General features: G+C 37.9%; 2 long non-coding RNA genes across 2 annotated transcripts in view, besides 1 other annotated feature; one reads left to right on the forward strand and one right to left on the reverse strand.

Annotated features, from left to right (window-relative positions):
- Positions 1–26,511, reverse strand: part of HCCS-DT (HCCS divergent transcript) — a 263,596-nt gene that overhangs the window by 52,533 nt on the left and 184,552 nt on the right. The gene's annotated exons all lie outside the window — the stretch shown is intronic.
- LOC124905244 (uncharacterized) overlaps positions 891–26,511 on the forward strand; it is a 28,519-nt gene continuing 2,898 nt past the window's right edge. The window contains exon 1 of the long non-coding RNA XR_007068390.1: positions 891–993. This is a non-coding gene — a long non-coding RNA (uncharacterized LOC124905244). The remainder of the gene's footprint in view (positions 994–26,511) is intronic.
- Positions 22,114–22,408: an enhancer, noted in NCBI's record as "tiled region #6238; HepG2 Activating non-DNase unmatched - State 24:Quies". NCBI's record gives its function as "activates a minimal TATA promoter and a strong SV40 promoter by Sharpr-MPRA in HepG2 cells {active_cell/tissue: HepG2}" and the evidence as "EXISTENCE:reporter gene assay evidence [ECO:0000049][PMID:27701403]".

Raw genomic sequence — 26,511 nt, forward strand, 5'->3', positions numbered from 1 at the left:
CACCAGGGCCTGTTGTGGGGTGGGGGGAGGGGGGAGGGATAGCATTAGGAGATATACCTAATGCTAAATGACGAGTTAATGGGTGCAGCACACCAACATGGCACATGTATACATATGTAACAAACCTGCACGTTGTGCACATGTACCCTAAAACTTAAAGTATAATAATAAAAAAAAAAACAAATCCAAAATATTGGGGTTAAAAAAAAAGAGGGGTGTGTGTGTGTGTGTGTGTGTGTGTGTGTGTGTGTGTTGTCCCAGAGGTTTCATCCAAATACAATTTTGGCTTTATTTTGTTTACAAGAATTTTTTCTTTCATTCACTTTAGTTAGTAAGTAGACAAGACTTTATTGTGAATTTGTTCCATTATTGCTTTTATCTTTTTAAAATGTGGTTTAGCTCACAGCCAAGTCATATAAAAGTAATTAATATTTAGATTTGAAGATCAGCATCTTGGTGATTTCTGTTTTGATTTTTTTAAGTATATGGTTCATTTTAAATTCCAGATTGGAACAGGCTTTTTCTTCAATCCAAACCTATATGGATTCCTACAGCCTTGAGCTCTTTTTCAACATTTGCACAAATGTATTTGCTTGCTCTGTTACCGTTTAGTACAGATAAGAAGGTTCAAGTAAATGTAACCTGCACAATAAGAATATAATCACTGTTTAAAATCAAACTTCAGAACAGGTCAACATGGCATAATCTCCTGTATAAATGATCTGTAATTCGCCTCTTCAGATAGTCATCTTGGCCCTGGAGTGGTTTAAAAGATAGTAGCTGCCAAAAATTGTTAACCATTAAACAAAGCTTTGCTTTTCTTTTATGTGGCAGGAACAAAGGTACACTTTTAAATCTGTCTCTGAAAAATGCATTGGTTTTGAATCCAATTCACTCTACAACCCTTGCTTTTGGGATCCAGGAGGAACCTTTCCAAAAAGGGTTTTTGGTTTGTTTTTTTTGTTTTGCCTTCATGGAGTGACCTGAGCCAAGGTATGTGGGTTTTATTTCCGGGGGCAAAGTTGACATAAAGAAAACTTGGAAAACCCAAGGGAGGCTTGAAAGGACTGTGTATTACACTGGAATGTATTCCATCAATTGTCAGAGTACTTAAGAACACTGAGTCATCATGGGGAATGTCCCCTTCATGAAGTCAACAACGGGTTGGCATTATGGAGAATATTCATCTCTCCTATTGAACCATAGTGCAATTTGGCAGTCCACATATTTGCCTTTCATGGTAGCTAAAAAGTAAACATTCGTATTTATGTTCTATTTCATAAAATTAGACCACTATATTGCTTCCAACTTCAAAGAATTCTGTAGTTTCACTTTCAAGGCAACTCTAGAAGACAGTATTTTAAGCACTAGGGGACTTGAGATGCATACACAACCAGCCTCTTATGGATTCACTTAATCACCATTAGAACCTGAAGATCTAAGTTTCTACTTAGTTGTCTGTGCTCATGGTAGGTTTCTCCCAGGGCATTTCTTTCATGGTCACATTTGGTTTCTGCCAAATTCTTCTTTTGAGATTTAGAATGTCTTTTTAGACCTTTACCAATGGAAGGAAAATGCCAGGTATTTCATTAGCATAATGGACCTATATGCCAAAGCCAATGAGATTATCATGTTACTTACCAAATTCCTTAGATCATACATGTTGGCAAAGTAATCACTTCCTTCCACCTATTAAATTTGTTGTTTTTAATGCCAGATGAGAGAAACAAAGATACTTGAAGTGATCTTTTATAACCAAGTGACTTGCTACTATGAACATTTAGGGTTAGGCAATTCTTTGTTGGGAGTGGGGACTGTCTTGTGCATTGTAGAATGCTTACCAGCATCCCTGACCTCTACCCACTGTTCCAGTAGAAACCCCCTCTCAAGTCACGACAACCACATGTTTTCAAACATTGCCAACTATGCCATGGGGAGCAAAACTGCCCCCTGTTGAGAACGAGTTTTATAAACAGCAAGACAGGTATTCATCTACAGTCTTTTGAATTATTTATTAATTAATACATTCCACAGTTGGCTCCTGTGTAAGGGGTAGTGCTAGACATGAGGGACTATTGGATATGATCCTTGCACAAGGCTTGTTTTCACAGAGCTTATGAGTCAGCCTAGGAAGCTCACAATCTAACCTCATTCTTAACATCTCCCTGGCAAGAGTCATGAATCGGGTCAGTATAGGATAGGGCCCATTTGTAAACTTACACCTTGCATTGGCTCATGACCTGCCTATTTGACCCTGAATCCCCAAACCAGAGCACCTGTGTAGCCTCAGTGGGCACTCAAACAGGGTGATTCCATTCTCTTTTGAACTCTTCCAGGGTATTAGATTTGTGTCATTGATTATCTACTGCCCAGTTTATAGACATTGTGTACAGTTCATCATTTTCTTATTTTTAATGATTAGTACCCTCTGTAAGATGGATTTGGCTGGCTGCCTGGATGAATGGTTCGGTTGATTATTTTGGAGCATCTTGGCAGCCAAACTAAAGAGTTTGGAGACAATTTCTTTTAGTATGGGAATGACATGACTGATTACTTAGTAATATCCACATGTCATGGTGCTGGGAAGATTTGGAGAGGGGAAAACATGAAGCCAAAGAGATAATAAAATGATTTTATATTCCTCCTATGATCAGTAAAGTACAGTAGCAGAAGAGCAGCAATGTCAATGAGGAACAAAGGAGCAAAAAGGAGAGCCATTTCAAAGAAAAAATAAATAAGATTTTGGAAGAGAAAATGATCATTACAGAGAAATTGAGTCAAAGGACTCAAGTTCAGTGTGTGTAGATATGAAAATGTGGTTTCTCCATTAAATACAAATATAGGTGTTAAGATGAATAAAGGATATCCTGATATACCGAGGCCATCATTCTTCATGTAACTTTCCTCATTTGAAAGTAATATTCTTATGAATTTTCTATTCTTACATTAAGTCCAGCTGTAAACTAAGAGCAACCAAACAGGAGGTAGGATGATTCACTTTTTGAACAATATCACATGTAAACAATTCTGTAAAAAGCAATGCAATATGGATACAAGAGGCCTGAAATCAGAATCAATAAATCTGGGCTCCCCAGATGACCTAAGTGAAGCCTCACATGGCATTATTCACCACTCAGTTCACCTCACCACATTTCTTTTTCCTCCATGTGAAAAAAGTGGCTGACAAGTGAAGATTTCCTTAAATTGTAGTATTTTTAGAAATGCCAATTATATTAATGATATCCTCCTTATTAGTAATCTCCAAGTAGTTACATAATGTGCAGAATCATCTCAAGCACTAATTTTAAAGTAAATGAATATTGAGTGTCTCATATATGTCAGATCACTTTTCTGGGCACTGAGAATAAAGGGGTTTATAAAATAAAGTCCTTGTTCTTTTCCTCTTGGAGTTTACATTCTAATAGGGGAGACAGACAATAAACATATAAAGAAATAAATATGTAATAAATCATGTGGTAGTAAGTCCAATGAAGACAACTATGGCACTATAATAGGATTGAAAGTGATTGAGGTGTTATTTTTGATCAGTGAAGTGACATGTGAGGAGACTAGAAGGAAAGCAGGAAGCAGGGTATGCAATGTACTAGAGAAGACTATTCTGAGCAAAGGAAACAGCAGGTGCAATGGTCCTGGAAAGGAGGAGTGCTTGGCCCCTTAGGGAAACATCAGTGAGGCCAGGTGGCTGGAGCAGAATGAGTGACAGGGGAAGGAGAGGAAGTCAAAAGGGAGTAAGAGCCAGTTTATTAAGGGCTTTGTAGACCATGGAAAGGACTTCAGGATTTTCTCCCCAAATGTGATGGGAAGAAATTGAGAGTGTTTTGAGTAGACGATGACATAATCTGATTCAGTTTCCAGCAGTGGTTCTCAACCAGGAATAATTTTTGCACCCAGGGTACATTGGGGAATGAATGTCTGGAGACATTTTGGTTATCACAGCTGGGGAGATGTGCTCCTCGTCTCAAGTGAGCAGAGATTAGTGATGTTGTTAAACATCCTACAATGCAAAGGACAACCCCTTTCCCTTACCACTGCCCATTCCCACCACCAACACACACAGCAAAGAATTTTCTGGGCCAAAATGTCAACAGTGCCTGTTTACAAGATATCTCTACCATCGTGAAGAGAACAGACTGTGGTGGGGCCAGGGTAAAAGCGGGGTAAAAGTAGGAGTCAACTGCATTAGACTCAGGTGTCAGGGGTAGAGACTGGAAAGTGGTCAGATTGGGGATACACTGTGAAGACCACATTAATAGAATTTGTAGATAAATTTAGTATAAGAGATGACTCAAGAATGACTCCAAGTTTTCTGGCATGAACTACTGAGTTGAGGAATTTAGGGAGAGTAGCCAGTTTGGGAAGATATCAACAATTCATTTTTGAACATGTTAACCTTGAGAACTTGTTAGCTATCTAAGTGTAGATCTCAAGTAGCCATCTATAAATATAAATCTTAGAAACGTGAATCTAAAGTTACATGTTTGGCTGCAAAGATAAAGTTGAGAGTGGTATTGCAAAGGATTCTTAATTGCAGACAAGAGAATCCATTCTAGCCAGTTTAAATCAAAAGGGGATGTTACATAGTTCCAATAATCTCTGGGTAGGATGGAACAAGACCTGATGCTATTTGGTCAGAAACAATACAGTCAGGGTATACATCCAACCACACCATAGGAAAGTTCTGGTAAAAAACACCACTGTTGCTACTATCCACTATGACTTTAGGGACTGGAAATTGGAGATGTACTCAATTTGCCTCAGACCAAGCAGGTGTCTTAGCCTTCATGCTAGATAATCCTATCTCTCTTAGTTACAATTGGCCCAAATCTTGCACCTGGACATTTGATGTCACATGTCTCCACTCTAGCTATTAGAAAAACGTACAGTTTTAGCTTTGCAGTTTCTGTAATATTGGAAGGTGAACTAGAACAGTTTGGAATGAGTGTTGAATAAGTCAACTTGCTCTCTATCTGCCTCAAGAAGCCACTGGCATATAGACGGAATTTACAGTTAGGGTGTTTGATAAGGCCACGTGGGGAGAGAAGAACATTTAGTGGGACGAGCTCTTAGGCATCCCAACACTTGGATGTCCGGTAAGGAGACTGAAAAGAATCATGTAGTGACAGGAATGAGAACCAGGAAATTGTGATATCCTAGAAGCCAAACCAGGAGAGTGTTTCAAGGAATAAGTGATCAACTGTATTGAATGGTACTGTCAGATCAATTATGGGCAGATAATTAACCAGTGGATTTGAAAACACTGAGGTTATTCATAGTCTGACAAGAGACATTTCTGTGGAGTGATGGGGACAAAAGCCTGATTAGAATGGGTGCAGGAGAGATTGGGAGAGGGTGAAGTGGACACAGTGAGTATAAAAGAGACAGAGATATAGTCCTGCAAGTTGGAGGCGGAAATGGGGCTAAAGAAAGGTCTTTTTTTCAAATGGAAAATATTTAAAAATTAAATATTAAAAGAAAAGCATAACAGCCACATTTTAAAGCAATCCAACCAAGTTCTATATTTTAAATTTTCTATATTTTCTATATTTTAAATTCTCTTTCACAGAAATTGGTTTATGTCTTGGTCTTTGCCAATACTGTGCTTTTAAGCATCGCTCCTAATCATTTAGAAAGCCTCCATGGGGAATGCCAAGGGATTTCTGATGAGCAGCTCATTGCCCTCGGAGCCTTTTATATATATACACACACACACATATATACATATATATGTATATATATGTATAAAATACATGTATATATACATATATATGTATATATGTATAAAAAATCATTGCCAAGATCATCCTTTCACAACTGAGATCTCTGATCTTGTTCAAGCTTTTCCTAAAACATTTTTCATTTTTCTCTACTTTTAACAAATGAGCTTCATTAGAAAATACTACCCTTTGTTATCCATAAGAGGAGTTCACTTTAGAAAGTGGTAGAATATGAAGATCTTGCTGTAATAATATATCTCTCTTCATCTGCTGAAGCACAGCTACTATGAAAACAGAATGAGTAACTGCTTCCATTCAACACTCCCAGCTCTCCCTAAAGGGAACATGTCTGAAGAACTAAGTGATTTGGTCACCTTTAATACATTTTCATTTCCATAATATGCTCTTAACAATTCAAATGACACGTTTCTCCATTTAAGTCTCCCACTGGGCATCTCTATCTTCTCACAAACTGTTTTTAGTTATTATCATTGTATTGTCTATGGAGATTAGGTTTGCTGCTATGACAAATCAGGGGAGATTTTAAAGGATGACATTAATTTGACAATTTTAGGAGTATTTATTCATATTTTTAAATATCAAAAGGATTAGAACAGTCATTTGGTTTTTTCCTTATATATTTCATATTTTAACTTTTTGTCAGATACGAGGTTTGCAAATATTTTCTCCCATTATGTAAACTGCCTTTTAATTTTGTTGACTGTTTCCTTTGCTGTGCAGAAGCTTTTTAGTTTGATGTAGTCCCACTTGTTTATTTTTGCTTTTGTTGCTTGTGCTTTTGGTGTCCTACCCAAAAAACTAATTGCTAAAATCAATGTTAGGGAGCTTTTCCCCTGTTTCGTTTTCTAGGAATTTTATGGTTTCAGGTTTTACATTGAAGTAAACAATTTTTATGAATGGTGAAAAATAGGAACCCAATTTTGTTCTTTTGCATGTGAATATTTAGTTACCCACCACCATTTATTAGAAAGACTATCCTTTTCCCATTGTGTATTCTTGGCACTCTTGCCAAATATTAATTGACCATGTACGTGCAGACTTATTTCTGGGCTATATTCCTTTCTAGTGGTCTATGGGTCTGTTTTCATGACAGTACCATACTGTTTCGATTATTAAAGCTTTGTAATATAGTTTGAATTAAGAAGTGTGATGCCTCCTGCTTTCTTCTTCTTTCTCAAGATTGCCTTGGCTATTCTGGGTCTTTTGTGGTTCCATAGGAATTTCAGGATTTTTTTTTTTCTATTTCTGTGAAAAATGCCAATGGAATGTTTTTAGAGGTTGCAATGAGTCTAAACATCACTTTGGGTACTATGGTTATTTTAACAATACTAATTCTTCTGATCTGTGAGCACAGGATATCTTTCCATTTTTTGTGTGCCTTTAGTTTCTTTCATCAATGTGTTATAGTTTTCAGTGTACAGATCTTTCATCTCTTTGGTTAAATTTATTCCTAAGTATTTTATTGTCTTTGATGCTATTATAAATAGGATTGTTTTCTTTCTCTTTTAGATAATTCATTGTTAATGAATAAAAATGCAACTAATTTTTTGTACGTTGATTTTGTATTCTGCAACTTTATTGAATTCATTTATTAGTTCTAACAGTTTTTCTGGTGGAGTCTTTAGGGTTCTCTTGATATAAGATTGTGTCATCTTCAAACAGAGAAAATGTTACTTTTTCTGATTGGGATGTCTTTTATTTTTTTCTTGCTTAATTGCTCTGTCTAGGACTTCTAGTAGTATGTTGAATAGAAGTGGTGAGAGTGGGCATCCTTGTGTTGTTCCTGATCTTAGAGAAAAAGAATTCAGCTTCCCACTATTGAGTATAATGTTAGAGGTGGGCTTGTTATATATGACCTTTATTATGTTGAGGTATACATCTATACCCAACTTGTTGACAGCTTTTATTATGAAAAAATGTTGAATTTTGTTAAATGCTTTTTCTGCCTCTGTTGAGATGCTCATATGATTTTTATATTTCATTTTGCAAATGTGGTATATCACATTTATTGATTTACATGTCAAACTCTCCTTGCATCCCAGAGACAAATCTCACTTGATCATGGTATATAATCTTTTTGATGTGCTGTTGAATTTGGTTTACTAGTATTTGTGCATATTTTCAGTTCTTTTCAGTTTGCTGAGGTTTATTTTATGGCCCAGAATATGGTCTATTTAAATTCAATGTTCATCATACTTAGTGAATATTCATATGTTTCACTACAGAAATATTCATATGATTTATTTCTTGGGGCTTCCCTAGTCTTTAATGTGGGTGACACACAGTATATGTAGCATATAATATTCTTAAAATTTGAAAAACTGTGAATTCTGAAATACATCTTATCTCAGGGATTTGGGATAAGAAATTCTTGGTTATATTATCATCCTTGTGATCTAGAATAAGTTTATATTATTTTTAGATTATCACTGACAAGAAAACAAATAAATTTTAAAATTTCATAGAAGGACTTGCAGACTCAAAAGAATATTTCCATAGACCATGGGGTCTGTGGTTCCCAGCTAAAAAACTTAGCAATGATGAATTTACAGTATAATGATGTTGAGTTTTCTTTGGCTCTAGCTGCTTTCTCAGCAAAGATCTTTGAAATGCTAAACTATCTGACAGGCAAATTTGGCTGGCACTTTTGCTTTGGATTTTCTTGGATGTGATCAGAATTGCCAAAGGTAATTTTATTGCTTTTCTGTGATGAGTGCCGCAGATTGCAAGGAAATCACTGAGGAGAAAGAGATGAACAGTTCATGACAAGTATCAACCCCATTTTAGATCATAGCTATCTTGCTTATTGAAATCTGATAATTATCAATTGGAACTAAGAAAATTTCTTATTGAAACCAAGAAGGTTAGCAGTTTTAGAGAAATTCTAATGCCATTCCTAAATCTGTGGTAATGAGCCGGAGGCAAATGATATATTTAAGGGTCCTTAAAATTGCAAGCTTTAGCCCAGAATTAAATAAATAATTCCAATCTTTATTTAAAAATATAGTTTAGTGAAAATGATCAAGAGGTCTCTGTTGTGGTTGGGCGTGGTGGCTCATGCCTGTAATCCCAGCACTTTGGGAGGCCAATGAGGGTGGATCACTTGAGGTCAGGAGTTCAAGACCAGCCTGGCCAACATGGTGAAACCCCGTCTCTACTAAAAAAAATACAAAAAAGGAAAATTAGCCTGGCGTGTTTATGTGTGCCTGTAATCTCATCTACTCGAGAGGCTGAGGCAGGAAAATCGCTTGAATGCAGGAGGTGAAGGATGCAGTGAGCCCAAATTGTGCCACTGCACTCCAGCCTGGGCGACAAAATGAGACTCCATCTTAAAAAAAAAAAGAGGCCTCTGTTGTGTAGGATGAGGGGGAAAGACTCAAGATCAGCTACAAAAGTTAAACCGTTAAATTCAATGGACACTGTATAGGCCAGCCAAACCTTTGGGCAAGAGAAAGACAATACAGGGAGAAAAAACAGGCAAAGCTGTGACATGATTTGCATTCTTTAAACATAAGCATTCAAGGAATCAAGAGAATCATGGGAAATTGACTAGATATTGTAAACGTTGATGCCACAACTGCTCTGCACATTTTGCACTCCTGGTTGCCCAGGAACTAAGACCTCTGCCTTATTTCAATAACATTATAGAGAAATTCATGTGCTAATTTGTAAATTCATGTGTAATTGGGGGTGGAGCAGTACATCATCTGGTTGGCTCCACCTTGATAAAGTCTTGAACAGCAACTTGGATTTGATGTCATTAAATAGAACAATATTAAAAGTTACTTTTAACTGGCTGCTACTGTGTTGCTTCCCCTCTGGACTCTGGGTGGACTCCATGTTAAGTAATAAAAGTGATGTGATTATTCATTCCAGTTGAATGACAAGGTCTTCTCTTGGATACCTGCTCGAAAGGAAAAGTCCAGGAAGCTGAGACTTAGGACTGGAAACAGATGGATGAGCCATCTCACCGTGCCCTGTGCAGGCTAGAGAGTGAATGTCAGTGCCTCTATTGCTGGGATGAACCTCTCTCTCCACCCTGGGGCTGGGGAAATGTGGCACACGGAAAGTTAGTAGGCTCTACACAGCATTCTTGACAAAGCACTTATTTTTCACTTATATGTCACCTAGATATTTAAAAAACCCAAAGAGCAGATCAGAGCTTTTGAGGAACCCATTACTAAACACAACCCTTGGTCAGGGATGTTACCTAGAAAATCCTATTCTGATTCCACTCCCATTTCAAATTTAGGAAACATACCTGCTGGTCTGCCTCAGTCTCCTCTATATCTGAAATCAACTTCAGAGGCAGAATGGAGATTTGGTTAGGTAAATAGTGGGTATCCATAGCATTCTTTGAAGAGACAAAAAGGCCAAGCCAGGGCTGCAGGCAGTCATGAATAGAATTCTTACACCCCGTGAAAAATCAAGCTGTGCATGATTCTGTTCCAGCACTGACTACTCTTGGTTGCATTAAGTGGCTACTTCCAGTGAATGCAAAGTTCAGCCTCCCAAACTGAACTGTGTACCTGAATACTCTGGGAAGGTATCCTTATTTTATTTTCCTTCAAAACCCTACAGCCTGCTGGCCAGGTAAAGTAAGAAAACATATGGTCTTTATTTAGTTATTTAGTGCTTACCACCAAGACTAAGAGGAGAGTGAGGAGTGAAGATTTCTTGGCTGTCTCCGATGCTTTCCTTTAATCTTACTTTATTTGCTAAGAGCTAATAAAAAATCTGAAGTGCTTAACTCTCAAGTGTTGCTTTTCTTCTGGGCATTGGTATTTGATTTGTTTCTTGGCCTAAACTCCCTCCCTCTTTTTATCACCAAATGGGCGACTGTGAACATCCTTTTTAATGCTGTGCTCATTCTCTTTTCTTTGATATATTTTTCAGCTTCTTAAAGTTTATGTTTTTTTCCACTCTTATTCAAAAATTTAAGCTACAATCATATTAGATTTATACAAAATAATTTAATTATAAAAGTAATAATCTATTTTTGGAAAAGATGAGAAAATCATTTATAATTTTACTGTCCAATTGCAATAGCTCTTGATTTATTCTCTTTTAATATGTGTTGTATTTTCCATAGTGACAGAGTGTGCATAGAATTCTGCTCCAAATGTCTTTCACCCCATATTATCCTATCAATGTGATTTCATGTTCACTAATTCTGCTTTGTAATAATTAGGTTGCTTATTCCACTGAGTGACATTGCCTCAATTTACTTAACCATCCTTTTCTCAGTGGGACATTTGGATTGAAAATATCTGCTTTTAAGGCTGTATTAACACTGACAGGAGTTTTGTAAAGCAATCAAACCTGCACAAAATTAATACGTAAAACCTAATAATGTGTGAGTCTTTGGATATGAAAATGATAAGTTATAAAAACTTCGTGACAAATAACTCAACAAGAACAACTCTCCTTGGTTATTTTCAAGACATACTTACAACTGTAGATTTGGAAAGTGAGCATATGTATGATAATACTTAAGAATGAGTATCAGCATTCTTAAAAAAAAAAGTATCACTAATACAATCATCCATACCCATGGAGTCAATTTGCTGCCATATCTTTTCTGCAACTTACCCTTGAAAATGTGACTCTTGATATTTCCAACCTCCAGGTCAAACTAATTATATCTATATCAAAATCTTCAATATTTGTACAAGATAAGCATTTATTTCCTCATCAATTACATAGTAAGTAGCCTCTTAAATACTTTTCCATATTCTAATATTTACACATTCTAATTTTTTTCAGAGAAAATTAGAAAATTGATTTTTTCTTCTAGAAGGCTTGTATTTATCTGTAGACACTAAAAATGGAAACTAACAGCTTAATAAACCTGACTGCATTATTACTATCAAGCCTAATCGCCTTGTTTTGTGATAATCAGGAAATTGTAAAATAGACAAAAACATGCTCTTCATCCTTTGTTAATTAGTGACTACACTATCTCTTTTTAAATAAATAGTGCCTCTTAATCTGGATATCGATCCTTTTTCTTTTTAAAATTCTTTTGCTAATGAAATACTTGAAATATACAGAAATCCTAGAGATTCTTGATGCAATCATCTCCTAGTCAAACACATTTTACCAATACCAAAACCTTTTAATAATCTTACAAGATCATTACTTTTTTTCTTACCCAATCTTTTAGTATCTCTTTTTTTCTATTTAAATATATTTTTCATAAATTCTTCTCTATATACCTGTTTTGTTTTGGTAATTGGCCTTTCTCTGGATATATATTTTTTACTCTCTCAAACTATTTAAAAATAGTTTGTGTCACCTTGTTTTATGTGTTTCTCTTGTGGGCAGCATATGGGTACATTTAATTTTTAATCCAATCTGATAATCTCCATGTTTAATGGTTTTATTAATCTTTTTGTGTATATTTTTACTGACATGATAAAGTTATTCATGCTGTCTTTTTTCCTTTTTCTTTATTATCTTTTGATTTGCTACTATTTTTATTTTCCTTTTCTAACATCTGTGGGATGAATAACTTTTTAATCTATTCTTCTTTTAATAAGATAAGGTTTGCATTTGTATTACTTTAGTGGTTATTCATACATGTTAGCATACACAGCGAGTTTAAATTTATCTAACAGCTTTAAGTTTATTTGGTAGTCTCACCCTCCTCCAGGACATAGCAAGAGCTATAATGCTTTAAATAGCCATAGAAACTTCCGATTCTCGTTATTCATTTCTATAATTTTACTCTTATCTCTTTCAAAAAAACATTTTTTATCAGTTATTTATGTTTATTTACATATTTTATTAATTTTAGGCTCCCAATTGCTTCTTGTACCCCACATTTTCTTCTGGGTTTCCATTTCTTCATTCAGAAGCCCCTCACTCCTTGTAACTTTATTGAGTGTCTCTGGCTTTGAGTAACTGAAAATGTCTTGTCTTTGCTTTTGCTTTAGAATGATAGTTAACTGGGTATAAAATCCTGTGTTGGCATTTACCATCAACATTTTGAGGTTATTAATCCATTATATTCTGGCATTCATTTCCAATTACAAAGAAATGCACTGGGAATATAACCAACAGGGTTCAGTTCTCTGTCTTTTCTCTCTGGCAGCTCTTAAGATATTTTGTATGTTACCCTTAATGTTCTGTAGTTTCATTACAAGTGTCTAGGTGTGGATTTATTTCCATTTATCCTCCTTGGTACTTGGGGCATTCTTTTAAATTGAAGACTCATGTCTTTCTCCAATTTAGATATTTTCCAGCTATAATAACAGTCATTTCCTCCATTCTTGGTGCCCCACTTCTCTGATGCCACTCCAACACAGTCAAAGTGGTGGTTTGGGGCATCTCATTACAGCCTGGCCAGGATGGAAGTCTAAGCTCTGCACTCTGCCTTTGCTGGCTGGGGTAGAGGTACAGCTGCAATTTGGTCTTTTTTTTTTTTTTTTTTTTTTTTTTTTGTGCAGTTTGGCTGGAGTAGAGTGGTTAGTGTCTAAACGTTCTTTATATTGCCAGTTGCCCTTTTCCTGGTTTTTGGCTAGAGAGATCTGGCTTTTCTCAGGTTTTTTGTTTTTTTGTTTTGTTTTGTTTTTGTTTTTGTCTGTACCTATTGGCATTTCCAGGTATGCAGTTTGGAATATATGTTGCAAAAAGAAAACCTCAGGTCCCAAGGTCCCTAGCTGGTCTACCTTCTTTTCTCCACCTTTCAGAGGCTTGTTATATTTGTTTTATGTTTAATGTTCAGGATTTTTCGTGGTACTTAGCTGGAAAAATAGGAAAAAGCATGTCTACTCCATCTTCCTAGAAGCAAAGCCTATGTATTTTAAAGTATTTGTCAGACTCCTCTATAAATTAGTTTTTAAGTAGGAAGAACTTAAATAATGATTTAATTATCAATATTTTTGCTATGTTTCTCACGTTAGATTTCTTTGCCTGTTTTTGCATTTTGGTTTAGAAGCACCTTTTGAGAAAGAGGTTTTGCTTTATTTTTCTCTCTCTCTCTTTCAATGATCCCTTGTCTTTTTCTAGTCATTTCATTATTTCTTTCTCAAGACACTAGACTTCAATTCTAGAACCAGGTTTAAAATGTAATTCAGGTTCCTGGCTTTTTTTCGGTGAGCTACAGTTATCACAGATCTGAACCCCAAGGCATTTGGTGACCTAACTAAGTTCCTAGTGGATCAGCTATCTCTGAGTTCTTCCACTGGTTTGGCCTGTAGGTAACTGTGAACTCAGTGAGTGGTAGCAGATTTTTCAGTCTGTTTTCACTGGTGGGGAAAGAGGAAGCCCCACTTCAGCCCTAGCTTTAAGCAATGACTTTGGCCCGGTGCATCCGAAGTGGAGATGAAGAACCAGAGGGCATGTTAGTCTCCCTTACTTTGAAGCGCAACTGTCTTCTGTTAGACTCAGGTTCTGAGAGGCTGCTGGGTTTTGCACTTCTGTTATTCTTTTTTTGGGCCACAGCAATATGTTGGCCAGGATGATCTCGATCTCTTCACCTCATGATCCGCCCGCCTTCGCCTCCCTAAGTGTTGGGATTACAGGCGTGAGCCACCACGCCTGGCCTATCACAAGCTTTTAAAATATTTTTGATATCTCATTACTATGTGTTGGGAGCAGAAACTGTGCACCAAAACATGAACTTGCTGGGCTATCTTAATGGAAAATCTAAATTTTACTTAAACACCTTTGGAGACACTTGGGGGGAGTAGTTTATATAAGATAACAAACTGCAAAACCCCACATTAGCTCAGATTAGGTTAATTTCATTAAAGAACCAGTTTTCAGTTAACATCATCTATTTATTAGCAATTTGGACATATAATTATGTCGTTTTCTTACATCCCCCTTCACATCAACCCATCATCCAAGTAACTTTGTGTTAAATTGTTATTCAGTATTATTGGGTGAATATAAGCCAAATGTATACTATCACTAAATTTTCTTCTAACCTTCTATTCCCCTAGTGCTGATAACTGTCTCATTTTCCTGGGCATAGTTATCTTTTTATCTATGGCTAATTCTTCCCATATCTGATTATGGGTAATAGAGATTTCCATGCAGTCAAATATCTCAGTTCATTTATCAGTTACCTTTTTCTCCTTTCTGACTTTCTTCCCAATACTCTCCAACTTCATGTCCATTAAGGCCAATTACTTTCTTGGACTTCCTTCTGACAGTTGTCTTCTGGAAACTTCTCTTTGCCATCAATCTGGGGATTCCCTTTTCCTCTTTCCTGTGTCAGATCTCCTTTCTAAGGACCTCACTACTTCTTTCTGGATTTACTATGGTGTGGCTCATGCTCTAGAGACTTCCTAAGAAAAGATACATGAGAGATACCTTTTAAAAAACTCTTTGTTTTACTTTCACTCTCAATGAGTAGGTTGGCTGATATAGCATTCTAGGTTGAAAATTATTTTCACCTAGAATTTTTGGAAGTCATTGATCTATTTTCTTCTAGCTACTAGAGTTGGTAGGTCAAATACTTTTTTTATTCCTGATCTTTCATATGGGACCTGATTTTTATCTCTGGAATATTTTATGATATTCTCCTAATCATCTGTATTCTGCAGTTTCACAATTGTGTGCCATAATGTGGGTTTTTTAAATTCTTCGAATTATGGTCTCAGGAGGTCTTTTCAATCTTGAGACTCAGGTACTTGAGTTCTGGAAATCCCTCTTGAATTATGTGGCAGAACAGCTAAACTTCTCATTGGAATTTAGTTTGTCTCCTTCCAGAGTCCACCCCCAACCCCTGTTCTCCTTACATCCAGGTAGGCCAGATGATAAGTTCTCACCAATAATAGGAGAAGTGACATCTGGGCTAAGGCATTGCAGAGGTAGGTGGCTTACTCTACTCTCTTTCTTCCCATTTGCCAGATGGATGCAGCAAATGTCAAGGTGCTAGGATGGTAGAGCCACAAGGCAGAAGGATCATGGGTCCCTTAGTCATCACAAGGAGACAAGTAACCATGGGCATTCATCTGTTATGTGAGTGAGAAAAGTACTTTAATTTGTGAAGCCACTGATGTTTAAAGGTTTGTTGTAGTAGTCAGTGTTCCCTGATTGATATATTTTTTTGAAATATCCTACCAACTGCTTTCTCTGTTCCCAAATTTCTGCAATGTTGATCAGTGAGATATTTGACTTCTTAGATTAATCTTCTAATTTCTTACATTTTCTCACATCCTATCCATCTCTTTGGCCTTTTTTCCCCACTTTCAGTGAGTTTGATTTGTTAACTTCTTTCAACTATTTTATTGAAAAACTTTGGAGGGGGGATGGAGAGGGAGAGAGCTATCATATTTTTTTTTAATTTCCAAGAATATTTTCTTTGATTCCTCTTTTATAGTATATTTCATAGTATATAGTTCAGGTTCGATTAACTCAATATTCTTCTTATCTCTGAGGATAACAATTATAGCTTTAAATTATTTCCTGATTTTTATATCATTTATTTCCTTTTTGTATGTGTATGGGAAGCTATTTCACAATGTCTTAATGATACAGGGCTGCCATACTTCTTTAGATTGAAGCACTAGAAGTCTGACTGAAAGCTCCATGTGGGTCAGGGAGCAACTAGTGAGCTTCCTGTAAAACAGTTGCATGGGCCACTGGCTTCTTCACTGGATGAGCTCCAATTATGAGTCATGAATTCTCCACTTGGCCCTGATTTTCCGAGAACAATACAGGGACAGGAGATTGGGTGGGAGTGGAGAGTGGGGTTCCCATCATTTTCTATGTATACTTGCACTTCACCCTTACCTTCACCTTAACATGTGCCAGGTATCACCCCTAGTTCCAAGTCTCTCTAGTTCAATGTATGCATGGAGTAAGACTTCTAGCCTTATTACAAGGACTGGGAAGAAACAATTGCCGGATATGAAAACTAAGGTTGGGTTATGGAGGCAGAGCAAGATTGGTTGATTGGGATCTTCCACACTCCCAGAGTTTTATAAGTCAAGTGGTGTCTTAGTAATTCCTTTAGCCAAGATGTGGGCAACACAGGAGAAATAGTAAGTGGAGTATGGTTTGAGGTTCTAGCTAATTGGCTTTTTTATAGGGTAGAAGGACCCCAGTAACAAGAAACGAGAGATAACCTGGATTGCCAGGGTATCTGACTTTGGAGTTGATTTGCAAAATCATACCCAGAAACAGAAGTGAGTGACTGAGGACAGTGAGACAGGGAAAGGAGAAAAAGCCACAAAATAGTGAGTTATTAAGTTGGTAAATAGTGTGGGCAACTGGGGCTCAAGCTCGATGAGTGCCATCTGGGGAACTAGTAGAATAGATCTCAGAAGTGTTACATCAAACTAAATGGAAGTAAAGTCATTTATCTATTGACTCTCATTGCGTCTCTCATTGGTTACTCTTGGGGCATCAGCATCCCCCTCATACTTCAGGGGAGTGACTGTTCAAGGCCTAAAGGGTCTCCCTCTGCTTTGGAGAAAGTCCTGAGCAACAAAGCAACGAGATGCCAAGACTGAGATATGACATGTTGGCAGTATGCATGGAATGTCCATCCCAGATGCAGGAAGATCAGTTAGGTAAGAGCACATAGTGAAAGATACCACGAGTATCTGCTACACAGAGTGGTGGAAGGAGGTGACACAAGTGACTAAACAGAAGAGAAAAGCACCTGCCTAGTTCAAGGGGGTCAAAGTCAGAGAGTTCAAGCAGAGATCCTCCAAGGGGCCCTCAAAAAAGGCTCACAGGACAAAAGACCAGCTTTATACATCTGCCAAGCATAAAGAAAATGAAGGCAACTCAGAAGGGACCAACTCTGTTCCCTTTTCCTTCCGTTTCCCACTCCTCCTTATGCCCAAACTCTTGACTGGTCTGCCCAACATGCCAGGGGGTTGGGGAAGAGGAGAAACTCAAGTTCATGCCCATTTCTTCACTGGAGGATTCAAGTCTGGGAAAAGGATAAAGTGCTGCCTTTAAATCAAGCTTTCTGTTTTCATCTGTATCTTGGATTGGACAATGATCTGAGAGCTGAGACTATTTGCAACTGTCTATAACCATAAAAACTACACGTTACCTAAGAAAGAACAGAAATTTTTTCATCTTGGGGTAGGATACATTCAACCCTTCTAAATAAAAGTTTTATCAGGAATGTAGCAGATAAGAAATAAAGTTACATTTTGATTGTAGCATTGGCTGTGCTTATTTTACCTACATGTATCTTTTCTTATTTTCCAGGGTAGACCATATTTTCCAAAATGAAAAAGGTGATGAAGGATACGGCAGGCAGAAAGCTTGGCTTGAGGCTATGAGAATGAATCCAAATTCCTTACCACTGCTCATAAGGCTCAGTGTGGTCCTGAGCCTGCTTATCCCTCCTAGTCATGTAACACTCTCTTCTTCAAATTCTATGCTTCAGCCACAGGGAGAACCCTTCACTTCTGGCAGAGTATCAACGTGTAGTTCCTCCCCTGTCCTCCACATTGTTGTTCTCTCTCCACTCTCCCACCTCCTCTGTTTTCTCTTATGCTCACCTAACTTACTATTCACTAGATCTCAAATTTCGCCTCCTTCAGGAAGACCTTCAAGTACCCAAGTTCAAGGCACTCCCTGTGCTCCATCTCTCCTAGCACCTTATCGCTACTATATTTACTTGTTCACTTTGTGGTGTACTCCTTGCCCATACCCACTATCACAATCTCTGTAAGAGATGGTCTGTCTGGCTCTTGCCTTCATCCCCAGAAGTTAGTATAGTGTCTGGCATACAGTGGGAAATTAATGTCAAATGAATTAATTTGTGTATTTACATAAAACGTCTGATAAATGTATATAAATCAAGCCACAGATTTTAAAAAATAAGCTTTACTATAAATAATAAAATGAAAAGATATAGGAACTATCCTTGAAAATTCAGGATTTATATTGGCTATATATAGTGAGTATATATCTCATAAGAGAGTGTTTCTCAAAGTGTTGTCTCTGGACCAGCAGCATCACCTGGGAGCTTGTTAGAAATGCAAATTATCAGCAGGGAAACCCACCCTACCTCACTCTCAACTCAGAAACTCTGGGAGAGGGGCCCAGCATCTGTGTTTAATAAGCCCTCTGGAGCATGCTCAAGTTTGAGAACCACTGCCCTAATATTTGAAATGCCCCTCCCTGCAAAGAGCTTAAGTCATATTTTAAAGGAGATGGTGTGTCTATTAAACATCCCTGAAAGTTGAGATCTGTATATTCTCCTTCTCCTTGATGTCATTCAAGTTAACCATCCAAACTAAAGACTGTCCAACACAGTCCATTACAAGAGGACTCAGCTGGAAAGGATTACAAATGAGCACTACTGTCAATATCTACAAACGGTCTCCAGGTGTGTGCATCTGGCATGACTGGCTAGGAAATCACTGGATTACTTGCTTCATTTAGTTCTGCATTTTAACAGTCTGACATTTTAAACTTCATGGCTGGATTTTTAATCAGATGGGCTGATCTCTGTACCTATCTTGGCATGACAATTTACTTTGTGGGAGAGTTGAATTAGCAAAGGTGTTAAGCCTCAGGTTTGGCCAAGGGGAGAGGAAGTGACATTTAAAATGTATGACCATTCCATATGGGACTTAAGATCAAAGCCTCCTGTTGGATAAGGACAGTGAAGAGCCATATAGAAATCATCCAGAACCTTCAGTGGGTATTTACTGATTCCTTCACCTGAGGAAGCTGTATATTATTAAATCCCTTTCAAGTTCAGGCAGACAGGAAGTCTTGTATCCTGGGTTAGATTCTATTTTATCCATGAGGATCACCAATAGGACCAATGGGAAAGACCTAAGACATAGGAAGGAAAATACATTTTTAAATGTAGTAAAATGACAACAGCAAAAACAAAAAACCAAGAAGAGCACAAAGAAAGAAAAAAAGAGTGAAGATTTGTTAATTAGGGTTAACAAAAAACAAATAATAAACAAATGAAAAATGCCAGACACTATGTAGAGAAGGAAAAAAAAGAGAAGAATAAAAATGCCAGCCATCTTAGGTGCTAATGGCTGTCTACTTATTCTTTAGAATTGCTCTGTCCAAGAAGGAAACTGCTAGTCATATGAAGCTACTTATATTAAAATCAATTAAAATTACATACAATTAAAAATTCAGTTTCTCCATTACACAAGACACATTTCAATTGTTCTATAGTCACATGTCGTTACCATATTGAACAGCACAGATTAGAACACTCCCATCATCATAGAAAGTTGGATTGGACAGTGCTCCTATAGAACTTACTTTAAGATCAAACTTGTACTTTTCCCTGTCCTTCCAGGGGTATCTAAATCCACAGAATATGGAAAACTAAAAGGTTAAGGTCCAGGGATGCAAGTAATTTTGCTTTGTTGATGAATTAGAATTTTCCCTGAAATTCAGTGCAAACATGGTCTGGTTTGTTTGTCTACACATCTCTCAAGCATATATTCAACACAATTCAACACACCAAATGTTAACTTGGATGCCCCTTCTGGGCAAGACACTACCCTGAGCACCACCTGAAGAGTAAAGATACATAGAATATAGTCCCTGTTTTCCAGGGACATATTTGACAGAGCACGTAAGACTAGGACATAATTATAATACAAGATAAGAAAAATAGGTACATTGGGAGGGGTATAAAAAAAGGTGTGGGTCTTTAGTCTTGCTGTGCATATAATTGCCTTGTTAAAAATACAGATGTTTCAGCATCATCCCTAGACAGGTCTATTTGTTGGCTCTGAGAGAAGCTTCCAGCATCAAGCATGTACCTTCTTTATGGATGCAGATATCTGTAAGATGGCTGGTGACTTTAAGGAGGCGGGGCAGTACAAGGGAATGCACATTGGTGTGGAAGTCAACAGAAAAACGATTTATAAACTGGCTTTGGCACAGATATTTGTGTGCTGTTGATCAAACCACTTCAGCAACTTAACTAGTGACTATGGTCAAAATGGCTGATTATGATTCATGTTTGAATCTTCAAATGTCAAAAGAACAATTTAAATTCTTGAGTAGGAAAATGAACTCAGGAATTAGTGAGATCTGAATGGAATAAAAGGGAAACCAAGTCCTGAAGTCACCAGAATTACTCAAGGGACTTAAGCCAAACCAGAAGACAATATAGACAATCCTTTGGGGACAGATGAGTCACCTATGATACTTATCAAGTTATTAATTAATATAGGTAGATCAGCAATCCTTAAGGGAAGAGCACACTCTTTATAGATAAATAGAACACATTTGGAATACAGGGAAGCATTCCTTGGGATACAATACATAAAGCTGAGAGTAGCTGGTAAAATTATGTACAAAGATGCTGCATTTATTAGGTGACAAATGAGCAACTTTCTGACCACACATTGCCCATAGATAACTTCTAGCCCATTCCTTGGCAGTAATGGCTTTCACATCAATGGCTGATTGACTTGGGCCAGTGTGATGGACACCTCTCCTGTGGCTGGGCAAAACCAGAAAAATCAATATTAAGTTTGTGGTTGACTTCAATCACATTGTAGCCTAAAAAGTACATAAGTATTTAAATTTTAACTTTTTCATCCTCATCCTTGGTTTCTTTCTTGTCCATCTATTCTAGGATATTGCAAATACTTCCTTCCTCCCTCCTTTTATTTCTCCTCTTCTCCTCCTCCTCCTCCTCCTTCAAGATTGGAGATGAAGGGGTTTGCTGTTTCTTAACTGGATATAGCAGATAAAGAACAAGAATATTGGCTCACTCGAAGTTGTCCTAATTTCCTTCATTTTAACATATTTCTTCACCACCACCAGAATGCCTTCTCTAATGACAAACAATTTCCTGCTACACCATATTTCAAGACTTTAATCCTTGTGAATGGCCATGCAAATGTTAGATTTTGTAAGTCATAAGCAGTTTTCTAAGGAATTTTTAATCGAGTTTCATTGGACATGCAGGCTAAAATGCAATTTCTGGCTTTTATTACACACCAAAAGTCTGTCTTTCAAATAAATCATCAAAGGAAAATTGGGGTGCAATACATAGCAGATAAGAGGCAAGACCATCATATAAGACCATACTGGTTGTACATTGCACAACTACAGGAAAAGTCATTCATAAAGTCTTTGATGTGAATAGTGTTCCCTGGAGTTGTACAGTGTACAACCTGCTCAGCTGCTCATGACAGACATAACAGTAAGATTTCTATATAATTATCATAGGCTATTTGTTCATGTAATTAAGTGTTTATTGGGTGCTGATCATATGTCAGGCTCTGTGCTAGATCCTGGTGAGCTAAAGTAATGAAGTCTCTGTCCTCATGGAGTTAATATGACATTAGGAGGGTCAAAGAATTAAGGAAGCATTCATGATGAAAGCAAGTTAGGTACTATAAGAATTATAGGGTGACATGGAGCACAGAGAAGGGAGCCTCTTTGGGAATGGGTAAGGGGAGATTCCTAAAGCAATTGACATTGTTGTGAAATATTAGAAATAAACAGGAATTAGATAAGCCAAATGAGTAATATGATTGGAATGGAGAGGGGGAAGGGGATGCTGAGGAGGGAACATTCCAGAAAGACTATTATGCATGAAAAGAACTAAATGATGTGTGATGTGCTGAGTCATCAGCTACTTCCTGATGCCAGTTTTATTGGAGCCAAATGTGCTTGCTGTATTAGTGCTCATGGCAGAGCCAAGCCATGGATCATGCTTGGAGAAGATGTTATCTCTAGGCAGTCACATGGACAACTGTACTTTGCACCTGCTTGGTGACACTTGTATGTAATCTTATGTTTTGCTCCAAAGTAAATGGGGTACTTTACTCCCCACTCAACTGTGGGAGCTCATTAAGAAGAGAGTATGTCTTACTTTCCGATGTCCTTTATGCTATCTTTGCATGTGGCAGGTGTCCAATAAATATTGATAGAAAATAATTAAACCATCATCTAACAAGATAAATCAGCATAAGATAAGGAATTGGGATTCTTTTTTCCTTTTTCCAACCTTTCAATTAAGTGAAACCAACATAGACATGTAAGCTGGGAAGATTTTGAGCCTGGTTTTTCTGATTTCAATTGTGTTGTTAGTGAACACATCCTGATATTGTAATATGACAGAAAAGGACATTTAAACAAACAATGATATGTGCAGCCAAAGATCCATGATCTCATGTTTTGATTCCAATCTTATAAACACTTGAAAGTAGCTTTATAGGTATCTTGGGCTAAGACACCTCTGAGAGAGCATATAGTTCTTGTGCAGTCATTGGAAAGAAAACACAGTATCCTATTCCAATAAAAGTTTCAGACAGGGCAGTAAATCAGGCTTGCCTTCCAGAATGCAACATTAGGCCATTGGTTTGGGCATAACATTTGGTAATATCATTGAGACACTGAAGGTGATCACCATAACCCACATATATCTGCAGTTCTAAGGGCAGCTTTATGTTGAAGCCAGAACATGACGATGGCATGCAGTTTTCTGTTGTTGTTGTTGTTGTTTTACCTCATATGGTGAAGACCATAGAGACTACCAGCCAGTAACCCATTAACAAGATTAACCTTTGCCTTGACACCAGGGGAGTGACTTTTCTCAAAGCTCATAAAATATCTTTGCATCTCCACTGATAAGTTTGCAATGACAGTGGGGAAATTTCTTAAGTTATTTCACTCAGCTTAAAAATTTTTAAGAAGTCTGATTGCAAAAATGCTCATTGACCTTTCAATTACACTACTCCTTTCTCTTATTAGTGACAATGTTGCCAGCAGCAGTGAGGATGAGTGACCTAAAAAATGTGGGCTTTCATAATTCGGCCGATATTTTCAGTTTGTATTTAGGAGATTTTACTTCCAATTTTCTCCTGGCTTTTGCACCGCTTTAATTTCTCACAAGCTCTGGTTCCAGAATAGCTATGCCAAATTTGGTCATCCATGATGACAGTGTCATAAGTCATAGAAATATTGGGCTCCAAATTTCTTTGGAGAACAAATTCAGATTTAATGCTGCCAATACCCCATATTTCTTGGGAGAAATATGTGAAAATCTTTGGTTTCACTTATAGGAATACTCAAAGAAATGAATAAACTTGCCCATTTAAGAGGTTTACATTTACTGTATAGTCTCAATACTTTAAATTCTGATGATCTTGGATTACACTGGGCTATTTCAACACTTAATTTTTCACAGTTTCTTGAGGCTTTCAAAAAAACAAATATACTTTTCAGGTACAAATAATTGATATGTTACAACATTGATATAAGTATCTTCATAATTGAGCATCTTTCTATATTTGCTTTGCGCATAGCTGTCCAGTGAATTTTTTGAAAAGAATGAACAGTTCTATAAATATTTCTCTATATCCATCAGCCAAAATATGTTAAGGCCAGACTGTCACCTAGATAATTTTAAAACAGCATACTTCCAATTGTAAAATGCAGTTCAAACCACTCATCATTTTCAGTCTTTTGGCATCTCTCTGGTCCACAGGTCTATGTTCTCATAGGCCAGCCCAGCTCCTAGGAATAGTCAGGTTGATCACAGTATTCAGCGACTGTGGCTACAGAAAACAGGGGCTAGAATATCCCAGTGGAATGTCTAACAACTGGAAGGAGCATGTTGACAAGCAATCCCAGGAGCAGGCAGACAAGAAATTTCAGGAAGGTTCTTCCCTGAGCTGGTGGGGAGCAAAAAAATATAGCCCTCCACCAGTGTAGGAAAACTAGAAGGGATGAAGATGGTACAGCCCTAGGGAGGCTGAGCTGATTCTAATTTACTGAGATTCAGATTGAACTCAAGAGATGAGCCAGTACGCTACAATTTGAGGTGGCTGTCCTGGGAACAAAGAAGAACTCCAGTTATATGACCCAGGGGCAAGATCAGAGCCAAAATGGCAGCCAGGAGGGCATGAGAGGATATTCTGGGTATTAAACCAGAATTCCTTAAATCCCCCCAACAAAGATAAAGGTTGGGTCTAGAAACTAGCATGAGATTAAAGTAAAGTGACTGTGCCAGGGTGACTTCAGTGGTGGCTGTTTTCACACTGCTTTAAGAAACACCTGAGACTGGGTCATTTATAAAGAAAAGCAGGTTCAATTGACTCATAGTTCACGTGGCTGGGAGGCCTCAGGAAACTTACAGTCATGATGGAAGGGGAAGCAAGGCACGTTTTACATGGTGGCAGGAGAAAGAGAGAGGAAGTAGTACACCTTTAAACCATCAGATCACATGAGAACTCATTCACTATCACGAAAACAGGATGGGGGAAACTGCCCCCATGATCCAATCACCTCCCACCAGGTCCCTCCCTCAAGACGTGGGGATTACAGTTCGAGATGAGATTTGGGTGGGGGCATAAAGGCCAACCATATCAGTGGCCCTGTTTTCCAGGCCATATGAATGTTTACCCCACGCTGCAGGGCCCTCAATAGCTCCATTTTCTCCCGCGGCTGAGCCATTGTACTTTCTAGAAAAAGTCTTTCTTCATGACTGAAGGTTCAATCTTGTGCCAGTTTCCAGACCCAACCTTTATCTTTGTTGGGGGGATTTAAGGAATTCTGGTTTAATACCCAGAATATCCTCTCATGCCCTCCTGGCTGCCATTTTGGCTCTGTTCTTGCCCCTGGGTCATATAACTGGAGTTCTTCTTTGTTCCCAGGACAGCCACCTCAAATTGTAGCGTACTGGCTCATCTCTTGAGTTCAATCTGAATCTCAGTAAATCAGAATCAGCTCAGCCTCCTTAGGGCTGTACCATCTTCATCCCTTCTAATTTTCCTACAATGGTGGAGGGCTGTATTTTCTTGCTCCCCACCAGCTCAGGGAAGAACCTTCCTGAAATCTTTTGCCTGCCCGCTACTGGGATTGCTTGCCAACATGCTCCTTCCAGTTGTTAGACACTCCACTGGGACATTCTAGCCCCTGTTTTCTGTAGCCACAGTGGCTGGATACCATGATCTATCTGTGTATTAGTTCATATTCTCCAAGAAGCCGATACCAAGACAAGATGAAGTGTGCAAGTATTTCATTAGGGGACATGCCTACATGAAAGGAACTAGGAGGAAAATGGAGTAGGCCAGGAGAGCATTCAGTTTGTGATGCAAATTGACTTCCAGTGAAGGAGAGAGGAGGAAAAGATGGAAGCTCCTAGACTGTCCTTCTGGCTTAGGAAGGTTTGGGAAAGCCACCAAGGGCATCTTAGCCAAAGTCACCCATCAAAAAGGTACTGTGTCTCTTAGGAAAGGACCTGCCTTAGAATCCCCTCAGCCCCAATCACATTTAGCCATTGGTAGAGAACAGCCTGTGGGAAAGGGGCCTTGGCACATACCCACTGATAGATTTCAGAGTGCACTAGATGGAGTTTCAGTCAATTACATCCCCTGGAGTCACAGGTGTGCCAGGTGCATGCTCATGACCTTCACAACTTGTCAGTTTGGACTTTCTTCCAGCACCCGAAGCTGGGTCTGTACCCCAAGGTGCTAGTCTCACTCTACAAACATGCTGTTTTACCTTCAGGTCCCAGTCTCTCCTAGCCTGCTTTATCCAGCTGGAATCAACAGACAGCCAGGTCGGGCCTTATCATGAGCAGCGTTTTCAAGTGTGAATTCCTTCCTGGCATTTCTCCAGAAATTTATATGGACTTCTAAAACCCGAATTCCAAGAAAAATTCATTGAAACATTGAGGGAATGAGAAAAAATGTTACAATTCTCCTTGAAAAGTTAAAACTGAACAATCAACACAAAGACATAACTGGTTTGATGGAAGCCACTGACAAAAAGTCAAAAGAGCAGGAAACTCTGACATGGAGTCAAAGATCAAGGCTGG

The sequence above is a fragment of the Homo sapiens genome, chromosome X (assembly GCF_000001405.40).
Source record: "Homo sapiens chromosome X, GRCh38.p14 Primary Assembly".
NCBI lineage: Eukaryota > Metazoa > Chordata > Mammalia > Primates > Hominidae > Homo > Homo sapiens.